General features: G+C 55.0%; 1 protein-coding gene across 2 annotated transcripts in view, besides 2 other annotated features; it reads right to left on the bottom strand.

Moving 5' to 3' along the window:
* Window positions 1–18,351, bottom strand: part of ZNF469 (zinc finger protein 469) — a 339,823-nt gene that overhangs the window by 57,349 nt on the left and 264,123 nt on the right. Inside the window, exon 1 of one of the 2 annotated variants that reach the window (NM_001367624.2) lies at window positions 151–446. The exons of the other annotated variant lie outside the window; for it this stretch is intronic. The gene's annotated coding sequence lies outside the window, so the exon portion shown is untranslated. Of the gene's footprint in view, window positions 1–150; window positions 447–18,351 lie in introns of those variants that run through there. 2 annotated transcript variants of the gene reach the window in all.
* Window positions 1,087–1,630: an enhancer, noted in NCBI's record as "NANOG-H3K27ac-H3K4me1 hESC enhancer chr16:88448183-88448726 (GRCh37/hg19 assembly coordinates)". NCBI's record gives its function as "activates a minimal SCP1, AML or CMV promoter by ChIP-STARR-seq in primed H9 embryonic stem cells {active_cell/tissue: H9 hESC(primed)}" and the evidence as "EXISTENCE:reporter gene assay evidence [ECO:0000049][PMID:30033119]".
* Window positions 2,175–2,719: an enhancer, noted in NCBI's record as "H3K4me1 hESC enhancer chr16:88447094-88447638 (GRCh37/hg19 assembly coordinates)". NCBI's record gives its function as "activates a minimal SCP1, AML or CMV promoter by ChIP-STARR-seq in naive H9 embryonic stem cells {active_cell/tissue: H9 hESC(naive)}" and the evidence as "EXISTENCE:reporter gene assay evidence [ECO:0000049][PMID:30033119]".

The following is an 18,351-nucleotide window of genomic DNA, read 5'->3' as shown; positions in this document are numbered from 1 at the left end:
GGGTCCGGCCCCGCCGGGGAGCGGCCCCCGAGGGCGCAGGAGCGGGAGCCGGGCCGGAGACCCCCGCGCAGCCCGGTGACACCCCCGCCCCGCGTTCCAGCCCGGGGTCCCCAGGCACCGCGCGCGCCCAGGCGGCGCATCCGCACTCACCTCCGCTCCGAGGCCCGCTCCGCCCGCCACGCCGGCCGCCGCCAACGAGCTCCCGGCCCGCGCCGCCCCAGCGCTCTGCAGCGGAGGCGCCGTCCTCATCCCGACCGCAGGCCCGCCCGGGCCGCCCGCCCGCCGGGCACCGAGCCGCTCTGCCGCGCGCTGCGCCTCGGGGCGGGGTGGGAGGAGAGGGAGCAGCCGCCACCCTGCCCAGGTCGCCGCGGGCCAGCCCTGCAGCCAGCTCCAGCCCTGGGCCGGGTGCTGGGAAGGCCGGACGCCGGCCGGCGGCCGCGGGGTCTGCCCCCCGGAGGCTGGGGCGGCTTAGGTTACAGACTCCGCCGCCCCCGCACCCTCCCCCCAGCTATTTTTAGCGCCGCTTTTCCTAGGTGTTTGTTTCATGGGACCCACCCCGGCGATGGGGGGCCCTGAGGCATTGCTCCCTGAACCCCCTCTTCACACTCCCCAGCCAGCCCACCCCAGAATGGCAGGCCTTGCTGCTGAGACGGAAACGCTGCATTCAGCACAACTTAAAAAACGTCTGCCATAATGCTACCCATGTGGCTTCCAGTGGCTGCTCTATCTCCATCCCTGGCCTGCGCTCCAGCTCCCCAGGTGCCCACACATGACACGCTTGTCCCTGTGCTTCTGTCTAGGAGGTGGGGGATGTCCCGACTGGCACCTGGCACCTGCCTGGGCAAGTTCGGTTTGAGTGGCTCAAGTTGGCCCTCGAAGGCACCATAAGGAGGTCCCCATGGCACGCTTTCTCATAGGTGGGAGCTAACATTGCCCCCAGACCTTCGTGTCTCCACTCTGGGTCCCTTGTCCAGCCCTGGGACTGCCCCAGACTGGCCCGTGAGTTCGGCAGCATTGCTGGTGGGGCGCTAGGAGCCATCCAGGCCCCTAGAGAGGGAGAGGCCCTTACCGGTCATTTGTCCAACATCTCCATTCACAGCCAAGGAAACCAAGGCCTGAAGAAGACAAGGAACCTGCCCAAGGCCACACGGCGGAGATGGCTCCAGGCAGAGCCCCCTGGCCCAGTACGTGCCCGTCCCCGGCTGTCCCAGACAGGGGCGTGTGGGCCTCCTCCAAGGGCAGGGGTGCAGCGTTACGGGCAGCATCTGGGGACGGATCGCCCTCCCCCACTTCAGAGGATCCCAAGTCATGAACTTGGTGGACTTCTAAGAAATAGGGTGGCAGTGGGGGGACTTCGCAGAAAGGAATGCTTTCAGAATTAGTCCTTCAGACAAAGGTCCCCCGGGAGCAGGTCAAGCACGCTTTACTTACGCAAGTTCAAGTTGCACACCCTTTTAAGGACACCTTTATTATGTAAAGCAAGGTGTGGCCTAACCACGGGCCTTCTGGTGGAGCCAATGAGTGGGCCTGCCCCTCCCCCAATCTGGTCTGCCTCCTGAAGCTGTTTTGGGACTCTGCGAACGGTATAGAATAAACTAAAAGGAACTGCACATGGCAGTGGGGTTTCTGTGCTGGCATCGCAGCACATGGCATTCCTGCCAGTGGACGCGAAAACGTGAATTGAAAAAGGGGCAGGGGCTGAAAGGCCCCAGAGGCTCGAGGCTTGGCTCACATTTCCATGGCATCATCTGGGGCCTCCAGGTCCTGGGATCTCCCTTTCCATGGAAAATGGGGAAGAACTAAGAAACCCTCTCGAGTTAATCAGGATTTCAATCAAGCGGGTTTCCTAAAGTTTCAAGGGCCAGGGGTCCCCTGGCTGTGGACAAAGACCCCAGAGGGCGTTTCCTTCCTTCTCGTTTCTACTGGGTCTGTTCTTGTTTCTAAGAAAGACTTCAATTTCCAAACCCGTGTGTGTGTGTGAGAGAGTGCATGTCTGTGTGTGAGTGCGTGTGTGTGAATGCATGTCTCTGTGTGTGAGTGCATGTGTGTATAAGTGTGTGTCTGTGTGCGAGTGCATGTCTCTGTGTGTGAGTGCATGAGTGCATGTGTGTGAGTGCGTGTGTGTGAGTGCATGTCTGTGTGAGTGCGTGTGAGTGCATGTCTGTGAGTGCGTGTGTGAGTGCATGTCTGTGTGTGTGTCTGTGAATGCATGTGTGTGAGTGCATGTCTGTGTGTGAGGGCGTGTCTGTGTGTGAGTGTGTGTGTGAGTGCATGTCTGTGTGTGCGTGTGTGCGAGTGCATGTCCGGGTGTGTGAGTGCGTGTGTGAGTGCATGCCTGTGTGTGAGAGCGTGTCTGTGTGAGTGCATGTGTGTGAGTGCATGTCTGTGAGCGCATGTGTGTGAGTGCATGTCTGTGTGAGTGCATATGTGTGAGTGCATGTCTGTGTGTGAGGGCGTGTCTGTGTGTGAGTGCGTGTCTGTGTGAGTGCATGTCTGTGAGTGTGTGTGAGTGCATGTCTGGGTGAGGGCATGACTGTGTGTGAGTGCATGTGAGTGCATGTCTGTGTGAGTGCGTGTGTGTGTGTGTCTGGGTGTGTGTGCATGTGTGAGTGCATGTGTGTGAGTGCATGTGTGTGAGGACGTCTGTGAGTGCATGTCTGTGTGTGAGTGCATGTCTGTGTGTGTATGAGTGCATGTCTGAGTGTGAGTGCATGTGTGTGAATGCATGTCTTGTGTGAGGGCGTGTCTGTGTGTGTATGAGTGCATGTGTGTGAGCGCATGTCTGGGTGTGTGCGTGTGTGAGTGCATGTGTGTGAGTGCATGTCTGTGTGAGGGCGTCTGTGTGTGAGTGCATGTCTGTGTTAGTGCGTGTGTGTTAGTGCGTGTGTGTGCATGTCTGTGTGAGTGCATGTGTGTGTGCACGTATGTGTGAGTGCATGTGTGTGTGCATGTCTGTGTGTGACTGTGTATGTGTGAATGCATCTGTGTGAGTGCATGTCTGTGTGAGGGCGTGTCTGTGAGTGCGTGTGAGTGCATGTCTGTGTGTGAGCGCATGTGTGTGAGCGCATGTGTGAGTGCATGTGTGAGTGCATGTCTGTGTTTTAGTGCGTGTGTGTGTGTGCATGTCTGGGTGTGTGAGTGCACGTGTGTGAGTGCATTTGTGTGTGAGTGCATGTCTGTGAGTGCATTTGTGTGTGAGTGCATGTCTGTGTGTGAGTGCATTTGTGTGTGAGTGCATGTCTGTGAGTGCATTTGTGTGTGAGTGTGTGTCTGTGTGTGTGTTTGTGTATGAGTGCATGTCTGTGAGTGCATTTGTGTGTGTGAGTGCGTGTCTGTGTGTGAGTATGTGTGTGTGTGACTGCATGTGTATGCATGCACACAAGTTCTTTTCCTAGCCCTGGGGCACCTGAATGCCGCCTGGGCGTGAGAAATGACAGAAGCCCTCACTCAGAGTCCATGCTCACAAGCATGGTGACAACAGGGGATGACCCTGTACCCACTCCGGGCCAGTCACTGTGTGAAGGACTCTGACAACCCCGCGAGGTGGGACTGCCTCTTCCCTTTCACAGGGAGGACTAGCAACCTGGCCAAGGCCCGCGGCACACCTCCCCTGTCCCAGAGCCACCGTCCACCCCTTGCCTTGTCCCCATGTTCCACACCCACCTGCTTTGACTAACCCAGTGGCAGCATCAGGAGTCACTTTGGACTGTTACAACTGGGAGCTACCTCTGGCATCTAGCTGGGGGGCAGGGGCTGCTGCCACGCCTCCCCAGTGCACAGGAATCATCCTGCCCCAGGTGTCAATGGCGGGAGGTGAGAATCCTGGTATCAGCACCCTCCTGGGGGCAGCTTTGCTCCAGGCTTGGCCTCCTGATTCCCGTCCCTCCCCTGGCCTGGCCCTGGCAGCGCCTCTTCCCCCTCTTCATAGCCCTCAAAGCCATCAGAGAGCTGAAAAGGAGGGCCACGTCCACCCCTCCTGGAAGGAGTTGCCTGATGGGGTGCTCTGCAGGGAGCAGGGGCTGGGAAGGTCCCCTGTGTCTGTGAGCTCAGCAGAGCTGGAAGGCTCCCGGGTGGTCCTAGCCCCTGCTTTCCAGGAGGAAACTGGCCCAGCAGGCTGCTGACTAGACTTACCCACAGCCACTGAGCCAGGTCTCATGCCCTGGCCAAGCCCACATGCTGCCCAGAGCTCCAGGCCTGCTACTGATCAACCTCGGGGGGCGAGGTTTCCTGGGTCCCAGTAGACGGTCAGGAGGGCCAGCTCACACGAGTCACCCCCTGGACTTTTGCCTGATGTAAAAATGAAACCGAGTAACCAGCGCCATGCAGGGGGAGGCACGAGAAGCCTCCGACAGATTCCAAGGGCAATTGCCATTGGCACTCGAGGTCAGCGCTGATGGCCTGGGTGTGTGGACACCCGTCCATCCTGACAACCATGCACCTTGAGAGCAAGGCCGCACCCCTGCCACGTGTGGGCCCACGCCTGCCCCAGATGGGCTCTCGAGAGAGGAGACCTCCGAGCGAGGACCAGACCTGTGGCCGAGATGTGGCATGTGGGACGTTTAAACACTCTGGGAGTTTTCAAAGCAAGCTTCACCTGTGATCTCATGGGCTCTTTAATCCCATTTGCTAGATAGGGGAAGCTGAGGCTGGAGGATGCAAAGAGCCCATCCCAAAGATGTGGCAGTTAGTGGTCGAGCCTGTCCCAGGTGCTGACTGCTGCCACCCTCTCCCTAGTTCAGGGTGGGAGTGGAAGGGAGAGCAGCTTTGGGGGCCCCGAGCATTGGGGTCTGCACAACATACAGGGGTCTGTGAGCAGCCGGGCAGAGGTGCAGACTCGGCGCTCCCTATGGGGCAGGAAGCCCATCTGGACGGCCTCTGATGAGCTCCCACCTCCCTGAGGACGGCTCCTGGGTGCAGCAGGAGGTGAGCAGGGGCTTGTGTGTCCTCTCCCCGTTACGATGCGTGCAAGCACAGAGGACAGCGATCACGGGGCCTCTCCAAGAACGTGCGACCTGGCTGATATGGCGCTAGTTATTTTACCAGCCTGGGATTTCTGGAACACAATCAGTACCCGTGGACTTTGCTGAGTAGACCCTCAATTTGGGTCTGGATGCTGCAGAGAAAAGGGCACAAACAGGCCCGGCCCCGGTGCCCCCTGCTCCCTGCCCGCCGTGTGTGCCTGGGTGAGTCAGCGGCCTCTCTGAGTTTCCACTTGCTCATCTGGGAGATGACATCATGGCGCCCACCTGTCAGGAGGGCAGAGCTGGCCCCTAGAGGCTACGGTGCTGCGGCCTCACCACTCCCTGGCGGTGAACTGGGGGGATCTTGGGGCGTCTAGGACAGTTGGACATAACAGGTATGTGCAAGGTAGGAGGAGTGGGTGGCTCTTTGGACTTGGGGTCCTTGAGGATGCAGGTGTCCGTCCCTGGGTCAGGCTTCCTCTCACGCTGTGGTGACCCCTGTGCTGCCCTAGGCACCTGGCCAGGGCTCGGCTCAAAAACCATTTTTTTTTCCTGGCATCAAACAACAACAACAACAACAAGCTCTAGAATACGAAAGTGGGGATGAATACATCTTCATCTACAGAGCACAGCACCTGCAGGCCAGCGCTTGAGGGGTGGCGTGGTCCGCGCCCTGAGGACCTGTGTGGGTACAGGATGCCAGCTGGGACAGGGGGAAGGCTTTGGAAAGTGAGTGGGAGAGAGGAGGGAGGGCTGGAGGAGGGAGATAGAGGAGGGAGGATGGGGAGTGAGGAAGGGAGGAAGGACAGAGGGAAGCTTGAGGGAGGGAGTGTCAGGGCCTGGAGCCCGGCTGAGCCCGGTCCAAGGAGACATTCCAGACGGATGGTGGCGCGTGACTCAGATGCCTACGGCCCAAGCGTTTCTGCCCCATCATCTGAATGGCCCCAGTCGAGAGCAAAAAGCTGGGGTGGACAGGGGTGGCCTCGAGGGCGTCCTGCACAGGGGCACAGGCACACACCCCCACTGCAGGCCATACACACCGGCTCACACATTCACGTGCTGCCATGGGTGGCGGGCCCAGCGGGAGAGTAGCCGGAAGCCACCGGGCCCATGGGTCGGCAGAGGGTCTGGGCATGCAGGATCCACCTTGCCCACCCTCTGTGAGGCTCTGAGCAGCAACGCCCCTCCCCTGGGAAGTCCCCCTGCCCTGCACCACCCCGGCTCCTGCCTTCTGAGCAGGGCTGCTTTTGGACACACGGTCTGTGCCCCTGCCCCATTGGGAAGACTCCTGTGGCCTGCCTGGTGTGCAGAAGACACAGGAGTGGTGGCTAACTGTGGGCTCTGGGTCGAGTCCCATCTCTGCCTCCAGCTCTGGCAAGTCCCTCCTGGGAGATGCTGAAGGGACCCAGCTGAGAGCCAGCCTGCGCTGGGGCCTGGCCTTCTGGTGCCTCTGGCCCTCCCGGCGGCATGAGCGGGCAGAGCCGTCCTCCCTGCTTTACCCAGTAGGAGGCTGGGCCCTCGGGGGCCTCGGGGCACGCTGGGAGGAGGCCTGGCGTCTGGGCTGGGCACACACCACACCTGTGCCCTGCACTTCCTGGCTGCCCTAGGAGCCTCTCTGGGAATCTCAGGCACAGCAGGCAGCTGGTGGCCTGGGTCCAAGCCCCAGCTCTGCTGTCTGCCAGCCGTGTGGCCGGGACACCCCGCGAGCCTCAGTTTCCCCATCTGCCGCGGTAACCCAGTGAATGTGCTGGGGCCGTGGGCAGCTGCTCTCTCCAGACACGCTCAGCCGGAGCATCCCTCACTCAGCCCTCGCAGACCTTCAAAATGGGAATCCTTCTAATGAAAAGAAAACAGAGGCGGTGGAGACCGGCCGGCCGCGGGAACCCCAGCCAGCGGCTGGCGCATGAATGGGCCCGTTCACGGGCGGCGGCAGAGCGAGGGCCCCGGAGGAGGCACCCGGGCTGGGCCCAAGGAATGGCAGTGCCTGGGGCAGGCCTGGGGCAGGCGAGGAGAGGGACAGCGGCCTTCAGTGCCTGCTGCAGCTTCCCTCCCCCTCTCACCCCGGACGTCCCCTCACACCGGGCCCGGCTGTGTGAAGGAGTCAGACGTCCGCAGTCCGAATCGCCACTGTCCTCATTTTTTTTCCTGTAATTATGTCTCCAGGGGACAACTACGCATTTACATTTTGCTCAGCTCAGTCATTTATCCAGAGCCTGCGAGAAAGGCCCACAGTAAAAGGCGCATTGATGTGTGTTTTTGTGTTGCTGGGGCGACTGGCGAAGGCGTGCAGACAACTGGCCCTTGTGGCCCGGCTGCGCCGTGAACAGCGGCGTCCTTCTCCCAGCACCTGGGCCTGCGTGCCGCCCGCCCTGAACCTGCCATGAATGCCCTCAGTGTACGCGGGTTTTCTTTTCCATACCTGGCCACTGAATCTTCCAACATTCTTCTAGAAAAAAATGTGGCAAGTTTCCCTGGGAGCTTTTCCTCTCCAAATGGCTTATCCACTCCAGTCCGGCCCACACGTCAGCCAGCTCTTCTTCCCTTTAGTGACATTAAAGAAAAATCATGCTTCCGTTTTTGCCACCTGCTGCTGGAGCCCAGTCGTTCCTTCTGATTTCCCAAGGGGTGAAGTTCGGCAGTCAGACGATTTCCTTCGTTTAGTCTTTGAACTTGCACAGGCTGGCCGTGTGGCTCAGCATTCCCACTGTGGTCAGATGTGACCAGGCCGGGTGCCAGAGGACAGTGCGCCTCATGCCTGCGATGGCGCCCGGCACCCAGGAACACTCCTCTTTGTTGAATAAATGAATGAACAAAGAGATTCTTCAACGGCTGGAAGGAAACGTGGGAAGGATGAGCAGAGGCACCGGCAGGGGCGATGTCTGGGTGTACCAGGGGCCATGCTGTGGAACCATTCATGGCAATGGTACCAGTAGCCAGCCGGGCCTGTGTCCCTGGTGGGACTCTGTGCAAAGATGTCACAGGTGTTAATGTATTTCGTTCTGGTAACTCACCCAACTTGCTGCTAAGTGGCCCAGATGCCTGCTGAGAGGCAGCGTAGCAGACGTCCGGGTTCAATCCCAGCTCTGCCTCTTACTGGTGGCCTTGGGCTAGTGGCCTTGGCCCCTCTGTGCCTCAGTTTCCCCATCCTTGTGCTGAGAGAGATGAATGGTGGCCTGCGTCAGGCCCTCAGGGCGGCCCAGCCTGAGTCCGGATGGAGGTGAACTCTGTGGCTGCTCTTGGAATCTTTTCTGGGTGACTTGTTTTCTCCTTCACAAGTTCCCAAATTTCCACGCTGGTCATGAATTCTATTTCATAACCAGAAAAAGCCTGAGAGACCATCAACCACCCTGCCCTGCGCCTGCTGCAGCCTTCGGGCCTGTCCTTCCAGGGCCCTGCCCCAGCTGTGTGCACAGTCCCAGCGCTTCGGTGCCTGGGCGGTTTCTGCAAATGCAGCTGGGGCCTGTGTTTTCCCGGAGCCTTGTGCGTAGATTCCACCACACTGAACGCTGCCAGGCGTTTGCTCAGGGCAGGTAAAACCTTTACATCTGCTGCGAACTGTGAGCTGTGCTGGGGCCTGCATCACCGCCCAAGCTGCTAGCAAAACCAGCACGCCTCAGAGCGCAGATACAGCCGCTCACAGCTCAGCAGCGTCGATCTCAGCCCACTTGGCATACGGCGCCGATCTCAGCCCACAGCACACGGCGCCGAGCTCAGCCCACCGCACATGGTGCTGAGCTCAGCCCACTGCACACGCAGCTCTTTGTTAATGAAACTCTGGGTTAGTGTGAATAAGAAAACAACATCCTACCCATCACAAGAATGTCCCTGAACACCAAGGGGTCAGGAATAAACATGGACTTCGTCATGTCATGCCCCTGCTCAGAAGCCTCACATGGCACCCCAGTGCCCATAGCATGAATATTCACTCAGTTCTAGACTCACAGCCTTTCCCTGTCGGGGCCCCCAGCTATGTTCCTGGTCTCAGTGCCCCTTCTTCTCTGCCTCCCCAACTCCGACTCAGGCCACCCTGAGCTGCTGCTCCCTAGTCTCCCGCACCTCACTCATTCTGTATGTGATGTTTCTCCTTCCTGGAATCCTCTCCCTTGCTGCCAGCTTTGCCAGCTAGCAAACTCCTATTCATCCTTCAAGACCCATTCAGAAGTCACCTCCTCTATGCTGCCTCCTTGTATTTTGGCACACATATGTCATACTGTGTCCTGTGTCTCGCTGTGCACTGGCTCTCCCTTGCTGGGCCACAGAGTGCCAGGCCTTACTCATTTCTGTCCACCCTGTACCTCAGACAGTGCCTAACCCCATGCAGGGCTATGTGCATCTGTGATGGGCTGAGTCTGCTCTTTCATTCCTCACCACACACTACGTTCATTCCTCAGCTTGGAATGGCTCATATCTCTGACACTTAAAGCCTCTTTTTTTTTTTTAATTTTAGACAAAGTCTCACTCTGTTGCCCAGGCTCTGCAGTGGTGCAATCTCCACTCACTGCAGCCTCTGCCTCTTCCTCCTGGGTTCAAGCGATTATCCTGCCTCAGCCTCCCAAGTATCTGGGATTACAGGCGTGCACCACCACGCTCAGCTAATTTTTGTATATTTAGTGTCGATGGAGGTTTGCCATGTTGGTCAGGTTGGTCTCAAACTCCTGGCCTCAAGTGATCTGTCCACCTCAGCCTCCTAAAGTGCTGGGATTATAGGCGTGAGCCACCGCACCCTGCCGTTTCTTCTCTCTTCCAAAACCTGCTCAAGATTCCTCCCCTGAAGGTAGCCCTCTGTGCTTAACCCAATGTGACTGTGATGTGAGCAAGTCTATGGAGCATCTGAGAATGTTGGCACCAGAAAGCCTCTTGAGGGTGGTCTGGTCCAGGCTTTTCACTTTACAGATGAAGAAACTGAGGCCCAGAGAGGGAGAGATGCCAGGTGGGGCACAGGCAGGGTGGGACCAGATCTCCCAAGGGGACTTTCTGTTCTGCGTGGCCTCCCCATCCGCCTCCACACAGGGACAGCCCAGCTGTCTCATCCTGTTGACAGCTCAACACCCCATCCTGAGATGCTGTCTCTCAAGGCATCCTGGCTTCATTCCACTCCCCCACCAAACCACCTAACACATCCTGTCACACAATGAGACTCCTGCAAGCCATATACCAGGGAGCTGGACATCCCTGGCACAGGGTGACTGTGGCCACTGCAGGAGGAGCCCTGTCAGTTGCCAGTTGGGTGACTTTGGGCAAGTCTTGTTTCCTCTTAGAGCCCCAGTCTTCTTTTTTGAAAAACAGAGGTGACAAAATAGAGGTTGACACCTCAAACATTGTCATGATAATGCAACAAAACAATGTCAAGTACTTAAAAGAGTGCCTGGTACCAAGCCAGGGGATTCTGTCAGCGTTAGGAAGGGATGAAGAGGATGATGGCGATGATGGTGAAGATGGTAATGATGGAGACAATGATGGTGAAGATCATGATGATGGTGGTGATGATGGTGATGATGGTAAAGATGGTGAAGATGGTAAAGATCATGATGATGTTGGTAATGATGGTAGTGGTGGTGATGATGGTGAAGATGGTAAAGATGGTGATGATGATGGTGGTGATGGTAAAGATGGTAAAGATCATGATGATGGTGGTAATGATGGTGGTGATGGTGATGATGGTGGTGATGATGGTGAAGATGGTAAAGATGGTGATGATGGTGGTGATGGTGAAGATGATAAGATCATGATGACGGTGGTAATGATAATGGTGATGGTGATGATGGTGGTGATGATGGTGAAGATGGTAAAGATGGTAATGATGATGGTGGTGATGGTGAAGATGACAAAGATCATGATGACGGTGGTAATGATGATGGTGATGGTGTGATGGTGATGATGGTGAAGATGGTAAAGATGGTGATGATAGTGGTGATAGTGATGATGGTGATGGTGATCATGGTGATGGTGGTGATGGTGGTAATCATGGTGATGGTAATGGTAGTGATGGTGATGATGGTGATGGTGATGATGATGGTGATGATGGTGATGGTGATGATGGTGATGGTAGTGATGGTGATGATGATGGGGATGATGGTGATGGCGATGGTGACGATGGTGATGGTGATGATGGTGGTGATGGTGATGATGGTGGTAATCATGGTGATGGTAATGGTAGTGATGGTGATGATGGTGATGGTGACGATGATGGGGATGATGGTGATGGTGATGGTGATGATAGTGGTGATGGTGATGATGGTGGTAATCATGGTGATGGTAATGGTAGTGATGGTGATGATGGTGATGGTGACGATGATGGGGATGATGGTGACGGTGATGGTGATGATGGTGGTGATGGTGATGATGGTGGTGATGGTGATGATGGTGGTGATGGTGATGATGGTGGTAATCATGGTGATGGTAATGGTAGTGATGGTGATGATGGTGATGGTGATGATGGTGATGATGGTGATGGTGATGGTGATGATGGTGGTGATGGTGATGATGGTGGTGATGGTGATGATGGTGGTGATGGTGATGGTGGTAATCATGGTGATGGTAATGGTAGTGATGGTGATAATGGTGATGGTGACGATGATGGTGATGGTGATGATGGTGATGGTGGTGATAATGGTGGTGATGATAGTGATGGTGATGATGATGATCTCACAGAATAGTATACTGAAAACACCAAATTAAGCATAGCAAATGTGTTGATGTCACTGAGAACAAGCAACCAAGCTGTGATGTTGGTGGCTGGCTAGGTTTGCTCAATGGTTACATCACTGAGGAAGAGATGGAACAAGGAATGCTAAATTCTCAAAACCAAGCCTACTGTAAGCATGAGTGTGAATGCATTTTGTCCATAGCATGACTTTCTGGCTGAGATCTAGAACCGGGGTGGAGCTCTGCCTCTACAAAGCATGACTGGCAGCTTTGGGCAAACCCCTTCACTTCCCTGAGCTTTGGTTTTCCCATCTGTCACATGGGGATGATCAGATCTGCCTGGCCTGTTATCAGGCCGTTACTATGAGGACTGAACTGGGGACATATGCCACACCCTTTGTCAATTGTCACGTCCTATGTAAATGTGAGAACTTGATTGCTCATGTATATGGCTGTGCATGGGTTTTAGGATAAATTAGCATCTCCCATCCTGGATTCTCCTAATTGTTTATCTATCGGAGCATTGTGTGTGCTTAGTATTGACTAACTCCTCTTCCTGTCTCAGAAGAGATCAGGCTGGTTTCTCAGACTGAGGAGGCTGCCATGTCTGTGGGATGCTCTATCAGTGAGGCTTTGCTGTGTAACAGCCAGTCCCAAAGTTAACAGCTTAAACAGTAACTAGATTATTTCTCATGATTCAGAGGAGCATGTGGGCCATTTTCTGGCCTAGGCCAGCTTGGCTGATATCTGCATTCAGCCAGCCACTTGGCTGGGGCTGGATGGTCTAATGGTTGACTTGCTGTGAGCTGGACGACAGGAATGACTGGGCCGCGTGCCTCCCATCCTCCAGCAGGTAGCCTGGCTCACTCACATGGCAGGGATTGCAGGGTTCCCAAGCTCAGCAAGAGCGTAACCCCCATGAGCAAAACTTTCCAAGCTTTTTCTACTTGCATCGCACTTGCTACTGCCCCATCGCCAAAGCCAACTTCAAGGGATGGAGAGAGACTCCAATCTTGAAGGCAGGAGCCACAGGGTCACCCACCCTTCCCACAGCTCGGCCTCAGACTTCTGGTCTCCAAGCTGAGGGGATAGATTGCTGCTGTGTTCACTTGCCCAGTTTGCGGTCATTTGTGACAGCAGCCCCAGGAGACTCACACGCTTCAGGACTCAGGAGTGGGCCCTGGACACAAACATGTGACACACGTGAGGCACGCAGCAGCCCAGTCACACGGAACGTCTAACCCCGAGAGGAACCCAGACGTGGGTGACACGACAAGATATTATTCCTTAGCCGATCGTCCAAGGTTCAGGGCACGTGGATCCCAGGGCTAGTGACTGGGGGGACAGTGAGCACGCACATGCTACTGAATTCTGGAACCTTTGTCTGTTCTGGCAACTCTGTGTCATGGCTTTCCCCTGAGGAATAACGAGGGGCCCACCATGAGGTGGAGCCCGCCCCACGCTCTTCATGGTATCAGAGTCGGCAACAATCTGCACAAATGCCCACAACAGGCAAATAGTTTAAATACATATGCTCTCACCAGAAGATGCTGAAAAGGCTTGTTCTTATTGATGCTGGAAATTGTGCCGAATAGGTGCGTGTAAAAAGCTGGTTATAAGAGACGTCTGCACTCATTTTGTTAAAAGGCAACAAAAAGAAGCTGATGCTCCTGGGAACAGTGGGAAGACAGACAGCGGTCAGAAAGGCTGCGTCGACATCCCGGCCACAGGATCAAGGGCAACTTTGAAATTTCCCTGTTTGGGTTTTGCTGGAGTGTCCAAACTTTGTGTAAAGAACAGGTATTATTTTTGAAACAGGAAAACAATGCAATTAAAAGCAGTGGCCTCAGCCCAAGTGGTCAAAGCTGTGCTCAGGGAGGTGGGTCCCCAGGAGGGAAGGAGCGGACACTGTGGTTTCTGAGGGCGCGGTGGGGACGGATTGTTGAGACTGTGTCACTGTCCCCGGAAGCTGGGGCTGGGGGTCGCGGGGGTGGCCTCTGTGGCATGAACAGCACAGGGCGGGCCCCACCTCACCGTGGCCCCTCGTTATTCCTGCTCCTCTCCATCTAGCTCTGCAAGAGCCTGCTCTGTCATCTGAGAAACAGGGCAGTGGGGACAGTGTCGCCCCTCAGAGTCATCATGAGAATGTCGTCACAGCCAGGGGCTACTTTGTGAACCTGACTCATGACATTAGCATCCTGCCTGAAGTTGAGGGAGCTGGGCTCAGAGAGGTGAAGTGACTTGCGCAGGGTCACATAGCAATGGGCAATGGGCTGACATGATGCCCTGCTGTGTCCGACTTCAATTCCCATATTCTCCTCATGTGGCTTGGGTGCCCCCTGCAATGGAGAAGTGGGGAGAGAAGGCCACACAGACCCCAGCCTACTGGGCTGCCTCCATCCTGTGAGTCAGGCAATGCCAAGGAGCCCTGGGAAGAAGCAATGGGGCTTTAGTCCCAACAGGTGGATTTGCATGTCATTTGCATTTATTTGCATGTGGCGTCCCAAGGGCAGTGATGCATGTGCTGGGCGTCCTGCCTACCTGGGAGGGAGGGGTTTATTCCCCAGCGTGGGGTGGGGGAATGGCGAGGGGAATCCATGGCTCAGAACTTTCTGGAAAGCCTGCAGGGCCACCATCTCAGGATGGCGCCCAAGGATGCAGGGCCTGGTACATAAAGTGGAAGCTGTGGAGACCTGCCGCCCAGGGCTTTTTTTTTTTTTGAGACAGAATCTCACTCTGTTGCCCAGAATGTAGTGCAGTGGTGCAATCTCAGCTCACTGCAACCTCCACCTCCTGGGTTCGAGCAATTTTCCTGCCTCAGCCTCCCAAGTAGCTGGGATTACAGGTGACCGCCAGCACACATGGCTAATTTTTGTGTTTTTAGTAGAGATAGGGTTTCACCATGTTGGCCAGGCTGGTCTCGAACTCCTGACCTCAAGTGATTTGCCTGCTGAGATTACAGGCATGAGCCACTGTGCCTGGCCTGCCCAGGCCTTTGAGAAGGAGATCAAGGAGCTCAGTGAGCTGGTGGCACTGCTGAGGCCACACTCTCCCAGGCCACACTTTCCCAGGCCACAGTCTCCCAGACCACGTTCTTCTGGGCCAATCTCTCTCCCAGGGCCATGGTCTCCCAGGCCACTCTCTCTCCAGGCTATGTCCTCCCAGCCACACCCTCTCAGGCCACATTCTCCCAGGCGACTCTTTCTCCAGACCACAAACTCTCCCAGGGCTATGCTCTCCCAGGCCACTCTCTCCAGACCACCTTCTCTCCAAGGTTGCACTCTCCCCAGAGGCTGCTCCCAGCCAATGACCAAGCTCTGCTCTCAGAGACCAAGAAGCTAGATGGTTTCAGGAAGCCCTGAAGAGAAAGGATGGAGCCCCCCACCTCGCAGAACCCCCACCTCGCAGAGCCCCTGCAAGGAGCTCGGCCTCCATCAGAGCTGAGTTCTCTGCTGCCGGCTCAGGGATGGCGTCCAGGCCCAGGTCACCTGTACCCTGTCCCACATGTGTAGCTCTTACGCCCTCCTCAGTATCTGCCCGTGGGTTCTGTGGAGGCTGTGACTGGCTCCGGACTCCAACCCAGAGACCCGGTCACTGTCCAGAAGGACACAGCATCTGATGCCAAGCTTGCCCCTGGGCAGCAGTGAGGCCCAGTGTCAGCTGAGGGAGCAGGCTTGTTTATGTTTGATATAAGCGCGGGATTGTTCTCTGCCCTCGCTGCTATTATGCGAAGGCAAGTCCTAAAATAATATTGGATTTCCTCTCTCATCCTGTGTAGGGAGGACACTCATCTGGAGTGGAGTTGAGATCGGGCGTGCTTTCGTCTGCGGGCATTAGGATAAGAATGCGGGTCTCTGTGTTTGCCGTAGAGCTGGCGCTGATGCTGATGCTGGCCCAGGTTCACTGGTTCAGCAGTGTGGGGGCTGCTTTGGAGAGGGATGTTTTTGTTTTTTGATAAATATGTCTCTTGGAAAGCTGGTCTCTTCGTGGAATTGTTCGGAATTCCAGATGGGGCCATGAGCCCGGGACCCCAGGGACCGGAGCCAGTGACCAGCCGATGAGCAGCTGCCAGTGAGGCTCAGGATGGTGCCCAAGGATGCGGGGCCTGGTGCATAATGGAGGTCACTGCATGCTTGGGCTTGGCTCCAGCACACAGAACACTCACACAAACACCTTTTTGTGGTCATGGTCGCTTTGCTTTGATTTCTAAATTCCTGCTTCAGTTCATCACAGGCGCTGGGACGTGCACTTCCTTCCAAAGCCCTCAAAGCTGTCTCTGTGTCTGCTATCATGGCAAATGTTCTGGTGCCCCATGCCCTGGGAAAAGGTGGCGAAGGATGACCTTCATCAGCTATCCTGGGGCAGGGGAAGGAAGGCTTTGGAGCCAGTCACATCACATGCTAATCACAGCTCCGTCACTCACGAGTTGTGGGACTTTGAGCTTAACCCCTCTTGTTCCTTAATTTCCTCATCTGTAAAGTGGGCTTGGAATACTTGCCTTGAAGGATTGAGTCTTGCCTATGACCATTGAGATGAGAGCGTGGGGACCAACATCTAACTCAATATATGCTGTTGCTATTGTTAAAACTAAGAACTTGGTATACAGTTGGAGCTCAATAGGCTATTTTCTTTCATTTACTTAGCAAACATTTGCTGAGTACCCAGAGGAATCAGAGTCTGTGACAGGCACTGAGGGGACGCAAAAAGGGGGAAGACATGGATCTTGCCCTCAAGTGAAGATGATGATGGTGATGAAGACAATGGTGATGATGTTGGTGGTGGTGGTGAAGATGCTAGTAATGAGGATGGAGGTGTCAGTGATGGTGGTAATGACAGAGATCATGTTAGCACTGTTATTGCTCATAATGATGATGGTCTTGATGATGATGATGGTCTTGGTGATGATGACGGTGATGATGGTGGTGGTGATGGTGTTGATGGTGTGGTAGTGATGGTAATGATGATGGTTATGGYGATGGTGGTGGTGATGACAGTAATGGTATTGGTGATGATGGTGACGGTGGCGATGGCGGTGATGATGGTGATAGTGATGATGATAATGATGGTGATGTGATGATGGTGATGATGATGGTGATGGTGATGATGATGATGGTGATGGTGATAGTGACGATAATGATGGTGATGGTGGTGGTGATGATGGTGATGGTGCTGATAGTGGTGATGATGGTGGTTGTGGTGACAATGATGATGGTGGTGAAGGTGATGATGGAGGTGATAGTGATGGTGATGATGGTGGTGGTGATGATGATGATGGTGATAATGATGATAGTGATGGTGATGGTGGTGGTGATGATGATCATGGTGATGATGGTGATGATGATAGTGGTGATGATGGTGGTTGTGGTGACAATAGTGATGATGGTGGTGTTGGTGAAGGTGATGATGGTGGTGAAGGTGATGATGGGGCTGATGGTGATGGTGGTGATGATGATGGTGGTGGTGACAGTAATGATAATGACGGTGATAGTGATGATGGTGATGATGGTGGTGGTGGTGAAGGTAATGATGGTGATGATAATAGTGGTGGTGATGGTGGTTGTGGTGACGATTATGATGGTGGTGATGATGATGATGATGATGAAAATGGTTATAGTGATGATGATCGTGGTGATGATGGTGATGATGATGGTGATGATGGTGATGATGATGGTGATGATGGTGATGATGATGGTGATGATGGTGATGATGATGGTGATGATGGTGGCCTCACATTTATCAGCATTTACTTTATACCAGGGCTTGTAAACTTATTGTCTACATTATCTTAATTGTAACACATAGTAGACTGTGGGGGAACACCAGAATGTTGCAGATTTCTGCAGGGGGCACTGTCACCATGTGTGTATGGCTGGTTGGAAGAGGTAGAGGAGGCTTTAGTGAGGAGGCAGAACTCAATCTGGGAAGGGTTTGGCAGTCTCAGCCTGGTAGCTTGTGTGGCGGCATTGCCTCTGCCATGATAAGGTAAATGGAACCCTTGGACTCCCTCACTTACCCCGACCACAGATGTAATTGCAAAGGACTCCAAGGCTGGTGAGGACACCTGCAACCACACTCAGCCCTGAAGCCATACCAGCACCATGGAGTGGACCCGCTCCTGGTCAGGACCCTCTGGCAGCAAGTGGCAGAAAACCCAGCCCAAATGGACCAGCTGAGAAAAGGCAGTGCTTGGCTCACATAACTGGAAAGCCCAGGCACAGCCGAGGGCTTCTGCTGGCCGGCTCCAGGGTTCTTTCCCAGCAGAGCCCTGCCCCTGGCAGCAGGAAGACAGCTCCCCCATGCTAGCCTCATGCCCGCCACCTCCTGGTCCAGCAGCAGATGGGTGCTTGGCCCCTTCTGACAGTCCCAGAAGACATGACTGACCACTGGCTCCAGTGGGTCCCATGTCCATCCCAGCAGCCAGGAATGTAGAGCTCTGATTGGATGGGCTTAGCTGTGGGCCACCCAGGAGCCATGGGTGGAGCCAACACCAGGCCAATCCCCAGAAGACAAGTAGAGCAACATAAACCAGAAAAGGCTGGATGTTGGGAGTTGAACACAACTAATATCTGGCACACAGGCCTAGCTTCCATCCTGCAGACAGGAAAATTGATGCCTGGAGGTCTGCTCGAGATTACTCAGCTAATGATTAGCTGGGCTGAGACTCGACTCATGGATCCCAAAATAATGCTATTTCATTTTCCCCACATGCAATCGGAAAATCAAATTTGAAAATTGATACCATTTG

The sequence above is a fragment of the Homo sapiens genome, chromosome 16 (assembly GCF_000001405.40).
Source record: "Homo sapiens chromosome 16, GRCh38.p14 Primary Assembly".
Taxonomy (NCBI): Eukaryota; Metazoa; Chordata; class Mammalia; order Primates; family Hominidae; genus Homo; species Homo sapiens.
Note: the sequence above shows the minus strand (reverse complement) of the source record. Positions and strands in the feature narration are given on the sequence as shown.